Below are 15,534 nucleotides of genomic sequence, written 5' to 3' on the forward strand. Positions count from 1 at the left end.
CGCCCCCACCGCGGCCCGCGGGCCATGGAACCTGCCAAGGCCGGCGCGGTTCGAGCGCTCCGGTGCGCGCGTTCAGGCGCCTTTCCCCCGTGAGCCCGGCGGCGCTCGGACCGGGCCGCCCGCCGCCGGGCAGCTCCGCCCGCCTCTAGCGCCGGCTGGGCGCGCCCCCGCCCCGGTGCCCGCGCGTGCGCGCCCCCGCCGCCGCGTGTGAGTGTGAGTGTGAGTGTGAGTGGGTGTGGGTGCGAGCCGGGCCGCCGACGATGCCGCGGGGCCGCCCCCCGAAGCCCAGGGAGAGCAAGGCGCGCGGCGACTCCGGTAAGGCCCGCGGCCGCGCCCTCGCGCCCCGCCGGCGGCCGGTGCGGGGCCCGCGCCCTGCCAGTCCCCGGATGCGGCGCGGGGGGCGCCGGGAGCGGCGGGGCGGGGGCGGGGGCCGCGCAGACCCGGGCCGCCGCCGCCGCCGACTGGCCGGGCGGGCCGCAGCGCGGGCGGAATGATACGGGCGAGTCGCCGCCCGGCCCCTCCGCGCGCTGGGCCTACTTTCCTGGGCCGGGCGGCGGCTGAGGCGGGAGGCGGGAGGCGGGTGAGGGAGCAGGCGGCCGCCTCCTGCGCGCGCCCTGCCCCCGCTGGCCCTGCCGCGGCCCGCGCTGAACTTGAGGGAAAGTGGCCGCCCCGTGTTCCGTCCCGGGGCCGGAGGGCCGCGGGGCGCGCTGGGGAGGCGGCCTGGCCAGAGCCCGGGCCTGCGGATACCGCGCCCCGGGCTCCTCCCGGACGGCGCCCCCGCCCGACCCTGCGCGGCGCCGGCTGCCCCGGGGACGTTGGGCTCGGCCCACAGGGAGGCCGTGGAGCGCGGGGTCGTGCACACAGTAGGCGCCAGCGTTGTCCGGGAAGCGCAGGGTCGTGCACACAGTGTGCTCCAGTGTTATCTGGGGCGCGCTGTGGGGCGTGCATACAGTAGGCGCCATTGTGATCCGGGAACTTGAACCCTGAGCCTCTGCAGACGCTGTGGGTAGTGCATACAGTAGGCGCCATTGTGATCCGGGGGGCTGGAACCCTGGGCATCTGGAGAGCGCTGTGGGTCGTGCAAACAGTAGGCACCATTGTGATCCGGGTAGCTTGAACCTGGAGCTTCTGGAGAGCGCTGTGGGTCGTGCATACAGTAGGCATCAGTGTTATGTGGGGAGCGCTAGATCGTGCACACAGTAGGCGTCAGGAAGTGTTTTCCCCAGTAATTTATTCTCCATGGTACTTTGCTAAAGTCATGAAATAACTCAGATTTTGTTTTCCAAGGAAGGAGAAAGGCCCAGAATTTAAGAGCAGGCAGACACACAACCGGGCACCCCCAGACCCTGGCCCTTCCAGCAGTCAGGAATTGACTTGCCTTCCAAAGCCCCAGCCCGGAGCTTGAGGAACGGACTTTCCTGCGCAGGGGGATCGGGGCGCACTCGCCGGTGCCGCGGTTCCCAGGTCGAGGGCAGTGGGGTAGGGGGCGCCGCGCTTTTTCTCGCGGGCGCCGTGGTTCCCGTGCGGCCTTGGACGCGAGTCTCCCCCTGCAGGCCTGGTCCCTGGTCCTGGTCACCCGTGCAACTGGAGCGGCGCTCCGCGTTTGGAAAGGGTTTTGAAGGGGGTTCTAAGGGGGAGTGGGCGCCTAGGACTCCCTATGGGAGTCGGTGGGTTATACCTTGACTGCCGTTGATTTTTATTTAACTGTTTAGCTTAGTGACTCAAGTGTTCCCCTTTTCTTGGGGATGAGTAAACTGAGGCTCATTAAAGAGCTTGTGACCAAACAACACAGGTGCCCCAGAGAAAGGTCGGGCCTGGAAACTACAAAGGATTGTGTTAATTTTGTGTTTAGGAAGAAAGAGGTAATGGGTAGGAATCAATGTAAACTTATTCATAGGCCACACCAAACCAGGAATTCTTGTCGTGATTGCACTTGGTAGAGTTAACACACGTGCACATTACGGAAACGTTGGTGACCAACAGGCGTTTCAGCGAGCTTTCGCACACCTCATGGGCCTTTGTGGGCTGCTGGAGAGATGTTGGCTGCACCATGACCCAGGTATGCAGATTTGTAGTTGGATAACAGCAGTGCTCAGAATTTTGATTAATGGTTGATGGTGTCTGGCCTTTAAGGAAGTCTTTGTTGCCTCTCCCGCTTTTGAGTTTTGGCCTTGACCTTATTTCGTTAGTTTAATTGTTTTGTTAGTATGCCATCTGCCAAAAATAATGTAAGGTGCAGTGTCTCAGTTACTTGGAAGAAGGCTTAGGATAGAGAAAGAATGTAAAATTTCCACGGCCACAGGCGGGGCACCCATTCCCCCAGTATCCCCATCTCACCGATGGTATCCCTGTCCACCTGGTGTTTCACCCTCAGGCCTCAAGAATTATTCTATTTCTTTTATCCCCCAACACACTTCCTAATTTAGTGTTGCAGCTTCTACCTCGGGAATGTATTTCCAGTGGGCCCTCCTCTTTCCATCTCCAGAGATACCCTCTGACCCAGCCTCCCTCTCCGGGCTGGAGAGCTGCAGGAGCCCCCTTCCTGGGCCCTGCTAGTCCTGGGCTCCTGTAAATAAATCTGTCACTTGTCAGCGTGGATGAACTTGTTAAATGTAAATCAGATGGCTACACCCTGATTAAAAGCGTGCATTGGCTTCCTCATCCCTTTAACAGAAACCCATTCCTCCAGGATCCTGTTGATCGGGCCTTGTCTGACTCTTCTCTCTTTCCTTGCTCTGGCATGCAGTCTTTTGTGTTCCTTGATGCCACATTAGTTTTTGTCTTAGGGCATTTGCCATTTCCTAGTCTGAGAAGCACTTTTTGCTAGTCTTGTGGCTCCAAGTGATTTAGCGTCTTCAGAGAGGCCTTCCTCAAACCTGCTTAAAAGTTACCTTTCCCTTCTGAACACCAGTCCTCCTGTAGCAAAGTGGTTCTCAAACTGTGGTTCCTGGACCCCTGGGGGTTCCCTGAGATGTTTTCAGGCTTCTGTAAGGTAAATATCATAGACTAAGACTGTTAGGCTTTTTCACTCTGTTAATTTTTGCACTAATTGTACAAAAGCAGTTGTTGGCACAACTGCTGACATCTTAGCACGAATCTAGGTGGTGGTGGCGGTGCCTAAGAGTGAGGCTGTATTACCTTCATGTATCACAGTCAAGAAGAACAGGTTGCACCAGAGAAAATGCAGAATAGATATGACAATCCAACTGTCTTCTGTTAATCGAGACATTACAAAGATTTGTAAAAATGAAAACCATTCTTAACTATTTTTGGGGAAGACATATTTTTCATAAAAATAATTATGTTAATGTGTAGTAGACATTTTAAATAAGTAAATATTTTAAAAATTGCTTAGTTTTAATTTCTAATAGGACAAACATCAATAGATATAACTTACATAAACTAGAAGGCTTCTAGGGCCTCTTTTTTTTTGTTTTGTTTTAAATAGAGATGGGGTTTCACAATGTTGCCCAGGCTGGTCTTGAACTCCTGGGCTCAAGTGATTCTCCCACGTCAGTCTCCCAGAGTTTTGGGATTACAGGCATGAGCCACTGCTTCCAGCTGAGGGCTGCATTTAAGAATGTATCAAGGGGTCCTGAAACCAAAATGAGGGACATTGCTCTATCACTTACTGTGTTAATCACATTTCTCGTAAGTGAAGTGGTTTTATTTTCTTTGTTGCCCTATTATGAATTTCATTCCTAAGAAAACTCTGCAAGGGATGTAGGGATTTTTACAGATAGGGGAATGAAGCTCAGAGCGGATACCTGATTTTTTTTTCTTTTTGAGTTGGAGTCTCTATTGCCCAGGCTGGAGTGCAGTGGCGCGATCTTGTCTCACTGCAACCTCCGCCTCCCGGGTTCAAGCAATTCTCCTGCCTCAGCCTCCCGAGTAACTGGTATTACAGGCGTGAGCCACCATGGCTAGCTATTTTTTTTTTTTTTTTTTGTATTTTTAGTAGAGACGGGGTTTCACCATGTTGATCAGGCTGGTCTCGAACTCCTGACCTCAAATGATCCGCCCGCCTCGGCCTCCCAAAGTGCTGGGATTATAGGCGTGAGCTACCGCGACCGGCCTGGAAACCTGATTTGGAAAGTCCACCCAGTTAGTGAGTGGCAGTTGGGAACTGGATCTCCATTTGTGTCCAAAGCATGCATTTTAGGCCTGTCATGGTGGCTCACACCTGTAATCCCAGCTCTTTGGGAGGCTGAGGTGGGCAGATCACTTGAGGCCAGGAGTTTGAGACCAGCCTGGCCCCCATGGTGAAACCCCAGCCGTACTAAAAAAAAAAAAATACCAAAGTTAGCCAGGCATGGTGGCTGGCGCCTGTAGTCGCAGCTACTTGGGAGTGCTGAGGCATGAGAATCGCTTGAGCCCAGGAGGTAGAGGTTGCAGTGAGCTGAGGTCGCGCCACTGCACTCCAGCCTGGGTGACAGAGGGAGACTCAGTCTCAAAAAAAAAAAAAAAGCATGCATTTTAGTGTTCTGCCTTGATAAATATAAAACCCTTCATGTACACTAATTCCTGTATTCAACAACTATTTTTTTGTTTTTGTTTTTGTTTTTTTTGAGACAGAGTTTTGCTCGTTGCCCAGGCTGCAGTGCAATGGCACGATCTTGGCTCACCACAACCTCCATCTCCTGGGTTCAAGCGATTCTCCTGCCTCAGCCTCCTGAGTAGCTGGCATTACAGGCATGCGCCACTATGCCCAGCTAATTTTGTATTTTTAGTAGAGATGGGGTTTCTCCATGTTGGTCAGGCTAGTCTCGAACTCCTGACCTCGGGTGATCCTCCCACCTCGCCCTCCCAAAGTGCTGGGATTATAGGCGTGAGCCACAGTGCCCGGCCTGTTGTTGAGACGGAGTTTTGCCCTTTTTGCCCAGGCTGGAGTGCAGTGGCTTGATCTCGGCTCACTGCAACCTCTGCCTCCTGGGTTCAAGTGATTCTCCTGCCTCAGCCTCCTGAGTAGATGGGACTACAGGTGCATGCCACCATGCCCGGCTAATCTTTTTGTATTTTTAGTAGAGATGGGGTTTCACCCTGTTAGCTAGGATGGTCTCGAACTCCTGACCTCGTGATCCCCCCACGTGGCCTCCCAAAGTGCTGAGATTACAGGTATGAGCCACCGTGCCTGGCTGAACAACTATTTTTAGAGCACTTCCTGTGATAGGTGAGCCCTGTGCTAGGGTCTAGAATACAAAGCTGAACAAGAGACATGATCTCTAGGTATCCTTATAAAGGTAGAAAGTGTTCATGGTGACAGATTGGGCACCTGAAGTCTAGGCTTCCTGGAGAAAATGTTGTTAAAATTCAAGCCTAAAGAGATGAGTAAGAAGAGGCCCACTGAAAGAATATTTGTTGAAGTAGTCAGGACGTGAGAAGTGAGTCTCACAGGCATCGATGGGGCAGCATTCATTCAGCACTTGATGTGTCCCTGGCACTATCCTGGGGATAGAAGGATGAGTGAGATATGCTTTTTTTCTTTATCATAATTATTTTAGCAATAATGTGACCTTGAGGGAAACCACATTTTGGAATCTTGTATGATTTCCATCTGTTTTCTCCAATGGAATAGTGCAAAATTTTTCTTTTTAGCTTGCCCCTTTAGTTGGCCTCCTGCTGTTTCTTTTTCCTTTTGGAGGGATATTTGTAATACTTAGTTCATTTCCAGAGAGCGGAGACAGGCAGACCATGAGCCCAATGGATAAACAAGTCTTTTCCTGATTAGGTTACCAGTTCAGGAATTTTCAGTTTTCTTGGATGAATTCAAGAGCCCAAGGGGAGGCACCACCAGTGTAAGCTAGGGGTAGTAGGGCTTTACTTTTTTTTTTTTTTTTGAGACAAGGTCTCGTTCTCTCACCCAGGCTGGAGTGCAGTGGCATGATCTTGGCTCACTGCAACCTCCGCCTCCCAGGTTCAAGTGATTCTCCCACCTCAGCCTCCTGGGTAGGTGGGATTACAGGTGCATGCCACCATGCCTGGCTAATTTTTTGTATTTTTACTAGGGATGGGGTTTTGCCATGTTGGCCAGGCTGTTCTTGAACTTCTGACCTCAGGTGATCCACCTGCCTTGGCCTCCCAAAGTGCTGGGATTACAGGCGTGAGCCCCCACGCCTGCCAGACTTTATCCTTTGAAGCGGCAGGAGGCAGCCAGAGCTGTAATCCCCTCAGGCTTCTGGTAACAGTGCAGTCCTTACTTGCTTCAGGGAGACAGCTTCTGCTTAAAACAGTAACTTTCTAACAATATCAGGTGTCTATCCAAGGATGAAACCCTCCACTCTCCATAATTGAACTTTTTAGGTAGGCCGAAATTTGGAGTATGTGTTTATTTATTTTGGAGACGGAGTCTCGCTCTGTTGCCCAGGCTGGTATGCAGTGGCGTGATCTGGGCTCACTGCAACCTCCGCCTTCTGGGTTCAAACAATTCTCCAGTCTCAGCCTCCTGAGTTGCTGAGACCACAGGCACATGCCACCATGCCCAGCTAATTTTTTGTATTTTAGTAGAGACGGGGTTTCACCATGTTGCCCAGGCTGGTCTTGAACTCCTGAGCCAGGCAATCTGCCCCGCTTGGCCTCCCAGTGTTAGGATTACATGTGTGAGCCACCGTGGAGTCTTTAGTAATTTGAAGGAAGTGTGATTAGATAACCTCTAAAGATTTTATAATCCTGGCATTAAGTAGTGACATCACATGGGTTTAAAACCTTGGTCTTTCATGCAAAACGAGCTTGGGAAAAGCTATAGTGTAAACCGTAATTCCTTATTAGATAAAGTCAATTCCACACTTTCGGAATGCTTTTTATATTTCAAGCCTTTATGTTGTCTGTGTGTACAGAGATAGTGCGTCTCTGCTTTCAAGAAAGTAGCAGTGTTTTTCAAGCTATGTTTTGTCATAGAACTTTTCTTCACATGAAGTATCATGGCAAGGCCTGGAGCGTGGCTCTCACCCTTGGCAACTCACGCATTATGGAATCTCCTGGGGGAGGTTTTTTTTTTTTTTTGGACGGAGTCTCGCTCTGTCGCCCAGGCTGGAGTGCAGTGCTATGATCTCGGCTCACTGTAATCTCTGCCTCCCGGACTCAAGCCATCCTCTCACTTCGGCCTCCTGAGTACCTGGCACTACACCCTCGTGCTACTACGCCCGGCTAATTTTTGTATTTTTTGTAGAGATGGGGTTTCGCCATGTTACTCAAGCTGGTCTCAACTTCCTGGACTCAAGCTATCCCCTGCCTTAGCCTCCCAAAGTGTTGGGATTACAGGCATGAGCCATGGCACCCAGCCGGTTTATGATTGCTAAGAGAAGCCAGAAATGTGTATATTTATTTGAAACCTCTTTGTTGTTAGGTTTAAGTAACTATTTTAATCACAAAAAACATCTGCCTAGAAAAGTGCACAGGTTTTAGGTGAGGAGCTTCATGAGTTTTCCTGTCAAGCCAGCATCCAGTGTGTTCGTGCCCCTCGCAGTCACAGGCCTTCCCCGCACTGTCCTGGCTTCTGATACGACATGTTAGCTTTACCTGTTTTTGTTTTGCTTTTTCTTTTTTGAGACGGAGTCTCGCCCTGTTGCCAGGCTGGAGTTCAGTGGTGCGATCTCCACTCACTGCAACCTCCGTCTCCCGGGTTCAAGTGATTATCCTGCCTCAGCCACCTGAGTAGCTGGGATTACAGGCACGCGCCACCACGCCTGGCTAATTTTTTGTGTGTTAGTAGAGATGGGGGTTCACCATGTTGGCCAGGCTGGTCTTGATCTCCTGACCTTGTGATCCACCCACCTCGGCCTCCCAAAGTGCTGGGATTACAGGTGTGAGCCACGGTGCCTGGCCAGCTTTACCTGTTTTTGAACTAAATTGAATTTATAGTATGAACCCGTATTTTTTTCTGGCTTGATTCATTCAATATTTATTTTTATGAGATTTTTCCTGTTGCTATGCAGCAGAACTGTGTTTATTTTGATAAGTATATAGTATTACATTATATGAACCTACCATAAATTACTCTTCTCCTCTTGATATTTGGGTTATTTCCAGTTTTTGGCTCTTTTGAATAAGTGTTGCTACAAACTTTTATGTATTTATGGGCCGTAGTGGATACAGCCAGCCAGTCGCCCAGTGACAGTCCTGGCTTCCTCTCCTACCAGCAGGGGATGAGCGTGCATTTGTTCCGCAGGCTCGGTAGCACTTATTATTGCCTCTCCCCGGAGATTCAATCTTTCAGCTTCCCTGGGCCACATTGGAAGAACTGTCTTGGGCCATACATAAAATACGCTAACACTAATGATAGCTGGTGGAGTTAAAAAAAAAAATCTCAAAAAAAGTCTCATAATGTTTTAGGCAAGTTTACGAATTTGTGTTGGGCCATATTCAAAGCCGTCCTGGGCTGCATGTGGACTGTGGATTGGACAAGATGGGCCTGTCCCTTTATTGTTTAGCTGTTTTGGTATGTATAGTGGTATCTCATTTTGATTTTTATTTTGAGTTCTATACTAATACAGTTTTTATGTTTGTCAGCCATTTGTTCTCTTTTGCTAAGCTCCTGTTGAAGACTTGGCCTGTTTTTCTACTGGGACATATATTAAAATTAATACTTTCTTTTCTAGAGCAGTTTCATGCTTACCCAAAATTGAGCAGATAATATGGAGCAGATAGTATGGAGACACCTTCTGTCTCTCCTCACAGTTTCTCCTATTGGTAACATCTTGCATTGGTGTAGTAAATTTAGCCAATGTTGATACATTGTTATTAACTAAAGCCCATCATTCGCATTAGGATATATTTTCTATGTTGTGTATCCCATGGGTTTGGACAAATGCATATTTGCCGTATAGTGTCATACAGAATAGTTTCACTGCCCTTTCCTCCGCCTGTTCATCCATCCCTTCCCTGACCAATGGCAAGCACTGATATTTTTATTGTCCTTATAGTTTTGCCTTCCCCAGAATGTCACATAGCTGGAAGCATTCAGTATGCAACCTTTCAGATTGGCTTTGAGTAAGACATGCATTCCTCCATGTCTTTTCAAGGCTTGATAGGTATTTCATTTTGTTGCTGAATAATATTCTACTGTATGGATGTATCACATTTATCCATTTACATTTTGAAGGACATCTTGGTTGCTTCCAGTTTTTAGCAATATGAGTAAAGTTGCTATAAATATTTGTGTGCAGGTTTGTGTTGGATGTAAGTTCTCAAGTCATTGGGGGTAAATCTCGGGGACTGTGACTGCTGGGTTGTATGGGAAAACTATGTTTAGTTTTTTCTAACAGGCTGCGAAGCTGTTTTCCAAAGTGGTTGTACCATTTTGTATTCTCACCAGGAATGAATGAGAGTTTCTGTTGTACATCCTAACCAGCATTTGGGATTAATTAGTTTTTTGGATTTTAGCCATTCTGTTAGGCGTGTACTGGATATCTCATTTTAATTTGCAATTTCCATCGTATGTTTAATTTTTAACATACGATGTTGAGCATCTTCTCATAGGCTCATTTGCCATCTGTGTATCTTCTTTGGTGAAGGGCTGTATGCCGTTTTATTACTGATTTATAGGAGGTCTTTATATACTCTGGATGAGTTTTTTATAGTCTCCTATTCACTCTTTTAAAGATACCTTCTAATCAATTAAACAAGTTCTTAATAACAATTTGTCAGTCCTTTAGTACTTTTCGGATCTATTTAAATAATATTTGAAAATAAGTAATATTTTCCTATGTTTTCATCTAGAGGCTTTATTGTTTTACATCTTTATTTTATTTTTTTGAGACAGGGTCTCGCTCTGTCACCCAGGCTCAAGTGCAGTAGTGTGATCTTGGCTCACTGCAACATCTGCTTCCTGGGTTCAAGCGATTCTTGTACCTCAGCCTCCTGAGTAGCTCAGATTACAGGTGCGCACCACCGCACTTGGCTAATTTTTTGTATTTTCAGTAGGGATGGGGTTTCACCATGTTGGCCAGGCTGGCCTCCAACTCCTCGCCTCAGGTGGTCCGCCCACCTTGACCTCCCAAAGTGCTGGAATTACAGGTGTGAGCTGCTGTGCCCAGCTATACGTCTCACCTTTAGATTGACACTTCATCTGAATGTGATTTGAAGAGGGAAAGGTCAGGATTTTTTTTTTTTTTTACACATATAGATACCCAATTAATCTGTAGTATTTGTTGGAAATACCATTTTTGTCTTTTTTTTACATGGTTGCAAATCAGGTGAAGAATTGTTCTGTACTTACTCTTTTCCACTGTTTTTTTTTTTGTTGTTGTTCCTGGCTAGTCAGTTTCACACTGTCTTAATTATGCTATTCTGAGTCTTGGTATCTGGTATGGGAAATATAAGTCCTCCATTTAGTTTTTAATTTTTGCGATCATCTTGACAATTGTTGGTACTTTTCAATTTCATGTAGATTTTTGAATCAGCATATAAGTTTTCCTAAAAAAACTTGCTGGGATCTTGATCAAATTATATTGACTCTATAGATAATGTGGGTGGAACTAATGTCTTTACAATCTTGAGTCTTTGAATCTAAACATGATCTCTCCTATCATTTCTTTCCTCGTTATCGTCTCTTGGTAATGTTTTGGGACTTCAAGATACAGGACTTATACAAATATTGTTAAATTTACTCCTAGATATTTGATATTTCCTGAAACTATTGTTGATGGTATTTTAAAAATTTCATTTTCTATATGTTGCTTGTTCATAGAAATACAATTGGTTTTTAAAAATTGGTATTGTATCCAAAGTCTTTTACATATTTATTATTTGTAATAGTTTAGCTGTAGATTCTTTTGGAATTTTCTCTGTAATCATATTTGTAAATATCAACAGGTTTATTTCTTCATTTCCAATCTTTATCACTTTCGTTACTGTTTTTTCTAGCTCATTGTACTGGCTAGGATCTCTTCTATAACGGTGAATAAATGCGGTGAATAAGGGACATTCTTGACTTGTTCCCAACTGCAGGAGGAAAATTATATTATTAACTAGGGTGCTTGTTGTGGGTTTCTTTTGGGGGGTGGAGGTAGATATTATAAGATTACATAAGTTTTATTTCTATTTTGCTAAGTTTTTTATCATGAATGGGTCTTGAATTTTATCATGTTTACTTTGTATTTTTTGTGGTGATCATGTGATTTTTCTTTTATATTTTGTTAATAGGGTGAAAAACATTGATTTTTCTAATGGTAAGCCAAACTTGTATCCCTGGGATACAGGCAAACTTGTTGCGATATTATTCTTTTTTGTATATCTGGATTTGATTTGTACATACTTTATGCTTTTTATATCTGTGTTTATGAGCCACATTGGACTACAATTTTATTTTTTTATATTGCCATTCTCAAGTTTTGATACTAGTATTTTGCTGGCTTCATAAAATAGGTTGGGAAGTCTTCCTTTATTTTCTTTTCTCTGTAAGAGTTTATAATAAGGTTGACATTATATGGTTTTTAAATCTGTGGTAGAATTCCCTGTTAGAATCATCTGGGCTTTGAGATTTCTGTGGGGAAATTTTATATTTTTAATTTTTAAAATAATTTTAAAAATAGACATGAGGTCTTGTCATGTTGTCCAGGCTTGTCTTGAACTCCTAGGTTCAGGCAGTCCTCTCACCTCGGCCTCCCAAACTGCTGGGATTACAGGCATGAGCCACCATGACTTGGCCTTTTGGGGAAAATTTTAAATTGCAGATTCAGTTTCTTTAGTATATATAAGACAACTGAAGTTTAAAATTTTACTTTGTGTCAGTTTTGGTAAGTTTTGTTTGTAAGAACCATCTAATATTTTAAAATTTATTAACAGAACATTATTCATAAGTATCTCATTATCTTTTTATGACTGCAGGCTCTGTAGTAATGGCCCTTCTCTCTTCCCTGATGGTGGAGATTGTGCTTTTTCTTATTTTTTTCTTAGTCATGGCAGGGTTTATGAATTTTAACAATCTTCTCAAAGATCCAAGTTTGGACTTTCAATTCAATTTATAGATGTTTGTTTTATATTCCACTAGTTTCTTCTCTTTATCATTTTCCTGCTTCTACTTTCCTTAGGGTTTTTTTTTTTTTTCATTTCAAGTTTTAATGAAAGCTTGTATATAAGATTACTTTATTCCTGCATCTGCTCAATTGTTTCTTCCTTATATTTGCCCTTTTACTTTTCTACTTGGCGAGATTTGGCTTTCCGTTCAAGGAGCATTTTGCGGTCTTTGTCCAGTTTTAGCCTAGTGATAACCACCTTGCTGGGGTGAATGCCTGTGTGCACAGTTGGGGTGAATGCCTGTATGCACAGTTGTGCCATTATCCTTTTCCCGTTGCACCCATTCAATGTAGAGGACATATTTCTTCCTGTAAACCCAGACTACTTTGCCAGTTTGCTGACCTTTATAGTGTCCTCATACAACCTGAACATCATCCTTTCGGATGGGCATGGATCGAACATTGTACTTGTCTCTTAGCTCTTTGGAAAGAAGGGAAGACAAAATCTTCCTGCGAATGTGGGAAGGTGCATTGAAATGCCTTTTGTGGTTGTTACTTTGGTCAGAAGTCACAAAGGGATTGAACTTCATTTGGGCTGCTCCCGCTTCACTGATGGTCACAAAAGGGAAGAGAACTACATATACGCCGCTTCCGGTTCTGTACCTACATTTTATTTTCTGTTTTTTTTTTTTTTTCTCAGCTTCTTGATATGGATACTGAACTAATTTTCAGCCTTTCTTACTTTCTAATATCTACATTTAAGGTTGTAGGTATTAAGGCTATTGGCAATTCTACAGTTTTAACTGCATCCACAAAATTTTGATGTGGTTTATTCTTGTCTTCACTAAGTTCAAGATTATTTTCTGATTTCTATTGTGAGTTCTCATAAGTTATTGCAAAAGATGTGGCTAAATTTTGAAATTACCTTCATTGTTACTGATTTCTAGTTTACTTGGGTTGTTGTCAGAGAACTTACCTTGAGTTATTTAATTATTTGAAAACTTCTTGGGTCTTTTCATGTTATGTGGTTATATTTGGTAAATGTTCCATGTGCACTTGAAAAGAACATATATCTATTTTTTTCTGTCAGTTACTCAGAAAAGTATTAAATATTAAATTCTATGATTGTGAATTTGTCTATTCTTCTGTCAATCTTTATATTTTGAGCTACATTTTTAACCATACAAATTGAAAGATCTTATATTTTCCTGGTATAGTAACTCTTATCATTATGAAATGAGTCATACTTTATATCTAGTAATGACTTTTGCCTTAAAGCCTCCTTTGTTTGATGTTGGTACACCTGCACCATGACTGCTTTGGTTAGTGTTCTATAGTATTTATTTCTCAATTCTTTTACTTTGTCTTTCTATCCTTATATGTAAGTTATATCTCTTGCAAGCAGCCTATAGTTAACTTTTCTAAGTATGGCCTGATGATCTTTGTCTTTAATTGATATGCTGATTTTAAGTACATTTAAGGCCGTTTTGAGACATAGTTTTCTACTTGATTCATCATTTTATATTCCCCTTTCTTTCTTGCCTTCTTTTGGCTCAATAAAGCATTTTTAAATGTCATTTATACCTCTCCATCCATTAGCCTGCTATTTATACATTCTTTTTTTTTTGAGATTAAGTCTTGCTCTGTTGCCTAGACTGGAGTGCATTGGCACAATCTTGGCCCACTGCAACCTCCACCTCCTGGGTTCAAGCGATTCTCCTGCCTCAGCCTCCCAAGTAGCTGGGATTACAGGCGCCCACCACCACACCCAGCTAATTTTTGTATTTTTAGTAGAGACGGGGTTTCACCATGTTGGCCAGGCTGGTCTCGAACTTCTGACCTCGTGATCTGCCCACCTCGGCCTCCCAAAGTGCTGAAATTACAGGTGTGAGCCACCACGCCTGGCCTATACAGTCTTTATAATTTTTTTTTCTTTGAGGCAGTGTCTCACTCTTTCAGTTGCCCAGGCTGGAGTGCAGTGGTGCGAGCATAGCTCACTGCAGCCCCAAACCCCCGGGCGCAAGTGATTCTCCTGCCTCAGTCTCCCAAGTAGCTGGGACTACAGGTGCCCACCACCATGCCTGGCTAAATTTTTATGTTTTATTTTTTAAAGACAGGATCTTGCTATGTTGCCCTTAAACGCCTGGCCTCAAATTATCCTCCTGCCTTAGCATCCCAAGTAGCTGGGACTGCAGGTGTGAGCTACCATGCCTGGCCCTTTTCTCCTTCTTGATAGTGCCCTTTGATTCACAAAGGTTTTATTTTCATTTATTTATTTATTATTATTATTATTTTTTGAGACAGAGTTTTGCTCTGTCGCCCAGGCTAGAGTGCAGTGGTGCGATCTCGGCTCACTGCAAGCTCTGCTTCCCGGGTTCATGCCATTCTCCTGCCTCAGCCTCCCGAGTGGCTGGAGCTACAGGCGCCCGCCACCACGCCTGGCTAATTTTTTGTATTTTTAGTAGAGGCGGGGTTTCACCGTGTTAGCCAGGATAGTCTCGATCTCCTGACCTCTTGATCCATCTGCCTTGGCCTCCCAAAGTGCGGGGATTACAGGCGTGAGCCACCGCGCCCGGCCTATTTATTTGTTTTTTTGAGACACAGTCTTGCTCTGATGCCCAGGCTGGAGTTCAGTGGTGCAGTCTTGGCTCACTGCAACCTTTGACTTCCAGGTTCAAGCAATTCTCGTGCCTCAGCCTCTGGAGTAGCTGGGATTGCAAGCGTGTGCCACCACCCCTGGCTAATTTTTGTATTTTTAGTAGAGATGGGGTTTTGCCATGTTGGCCAGGCTGGTCTTGAACTCCTGGCCTCAAGTGATCCGCACCCCCTCCCCCCCCCCCCGCCCCGCAAGCCTCCCAAAGTGCTGGAATTACAGGCATGTGCTGCCATGCCCAGCCTTCACAAAAGTTTTAAATTTTAATAGAGTGGAATTTGTGTTTGTTTCCTCCTGGTTATTTGTAGCTTTTCGTGTCAAATTTAAGACACTGTTGCCAAATCCGTAGTCACGAAGCTTGTCCCTTATGTTTTTCTTCTAGGAGATTTATAGTTTTAGTTGTTAAATTGAAGTCTTTGATCTGATTTAATTTTTGTATATGGTATGAAGTGAAGGTCTGAATTCCTTTTTTTCTTTTTCTTTTTCTTTTTTTTTTTTTTTTTTTTGAGACAGAGTTTCACTCTTGTTGCCCAGGCTGGAGTGCAGTGGTGGAATCTTGGCTCACTGCAACCTCTGCCTGCCAGGTTCAAGCAATTCTCCTGCCTCAGATTTCTGAGTAGCTGGGATTAAAAGCGTGTGCCACCACGCCTGGCTAATTTTTTGTTATTTTAGTAGAGACAGGGTTTCACCATGTTGGCCAGGCTGGTCTCGAACTCCTAATGTCAGTCAATCCGCCCGCCTAGCCTCCCAAAGTGCTGGGATTACAGGCGTGACCCACCGCGCCTGGCTTTGAATTCAGTTTTTAACCTTTGTATATCCACTTCGGCTAGAACTGTTTATTGCCTCATTGAATGGTACTGGCATTCTTGTTAAAAATCAATGGATGATAAATATATGTGTTTACTTCTGAACTCTCACTAGTGTCTCTGT

At 45.0% G+C, this 15,534-nt stretch overlaps 1 protein-coding gene and 1 pseudogene across 6 annotated transcripts in view, besides 1 other annotated feature; one reads left to right on the forward strand and one right to left on the reverse strand.

Annotated features, from left to right (window-relative positions):
* Positions 102-841: a silencer, noted in NCBI's record as "silent region_9561". NCBI's record gives its function as "represses an Ori minimal core promoter by ATAC-STARR-seq in GM12878 lymphoblastoid cells {active_cell/tissue: GM12878}" and the evidence as "EXISTENCE:reporter gene assay evidence [ECO:0000049][PMID:35858748]".
* The window catches only part of ZNF236 (zinc finger protein 236), a 150,345-nt gene continuing 135,020 nt past the window's right edge, over positions 210-15,534 (forward strand). For 3 of the 6 annotated variants that reach the window (NM_001306089.2, XM_011526168.3, XM_011526169.4), the window contains exon 1: positions 210-315. In NM_001306089.2, coding sequence (NP_001293018.1) covers positions 261-315 — 55 coding nt within the window. In that variant the 5' untranslated portion in view covers positions 210-260. Of the gene's footprint in view, positions 316-771; positions 1,003-1,412; positions 2,060-15,534 lie in introns of those variants that run through there. The other 3 variants (XM_011526165.4, XM_047437793.1, NM_007345.4) reach the window with 3 other exon arrangements.
* On the reverse strand, positions 12,045-12,583 carry RPL26P35 (ribosomal protein L26 pseudogene 35; annotated as a pseudogene).

Source organism: Homo sapiens, chromosome 18 (genome assembly GCF_000001405.40).
Source record: "Homo sapiens chromosome 18, GRCh38.p14 Primary Assembly".
Taxonomy (NCBI): domain Eukaryota; kingdom Metazoa; phylum Chordata; class Mammalia; order Primates; family Hominidae; genus Homo; species Homo sapiens.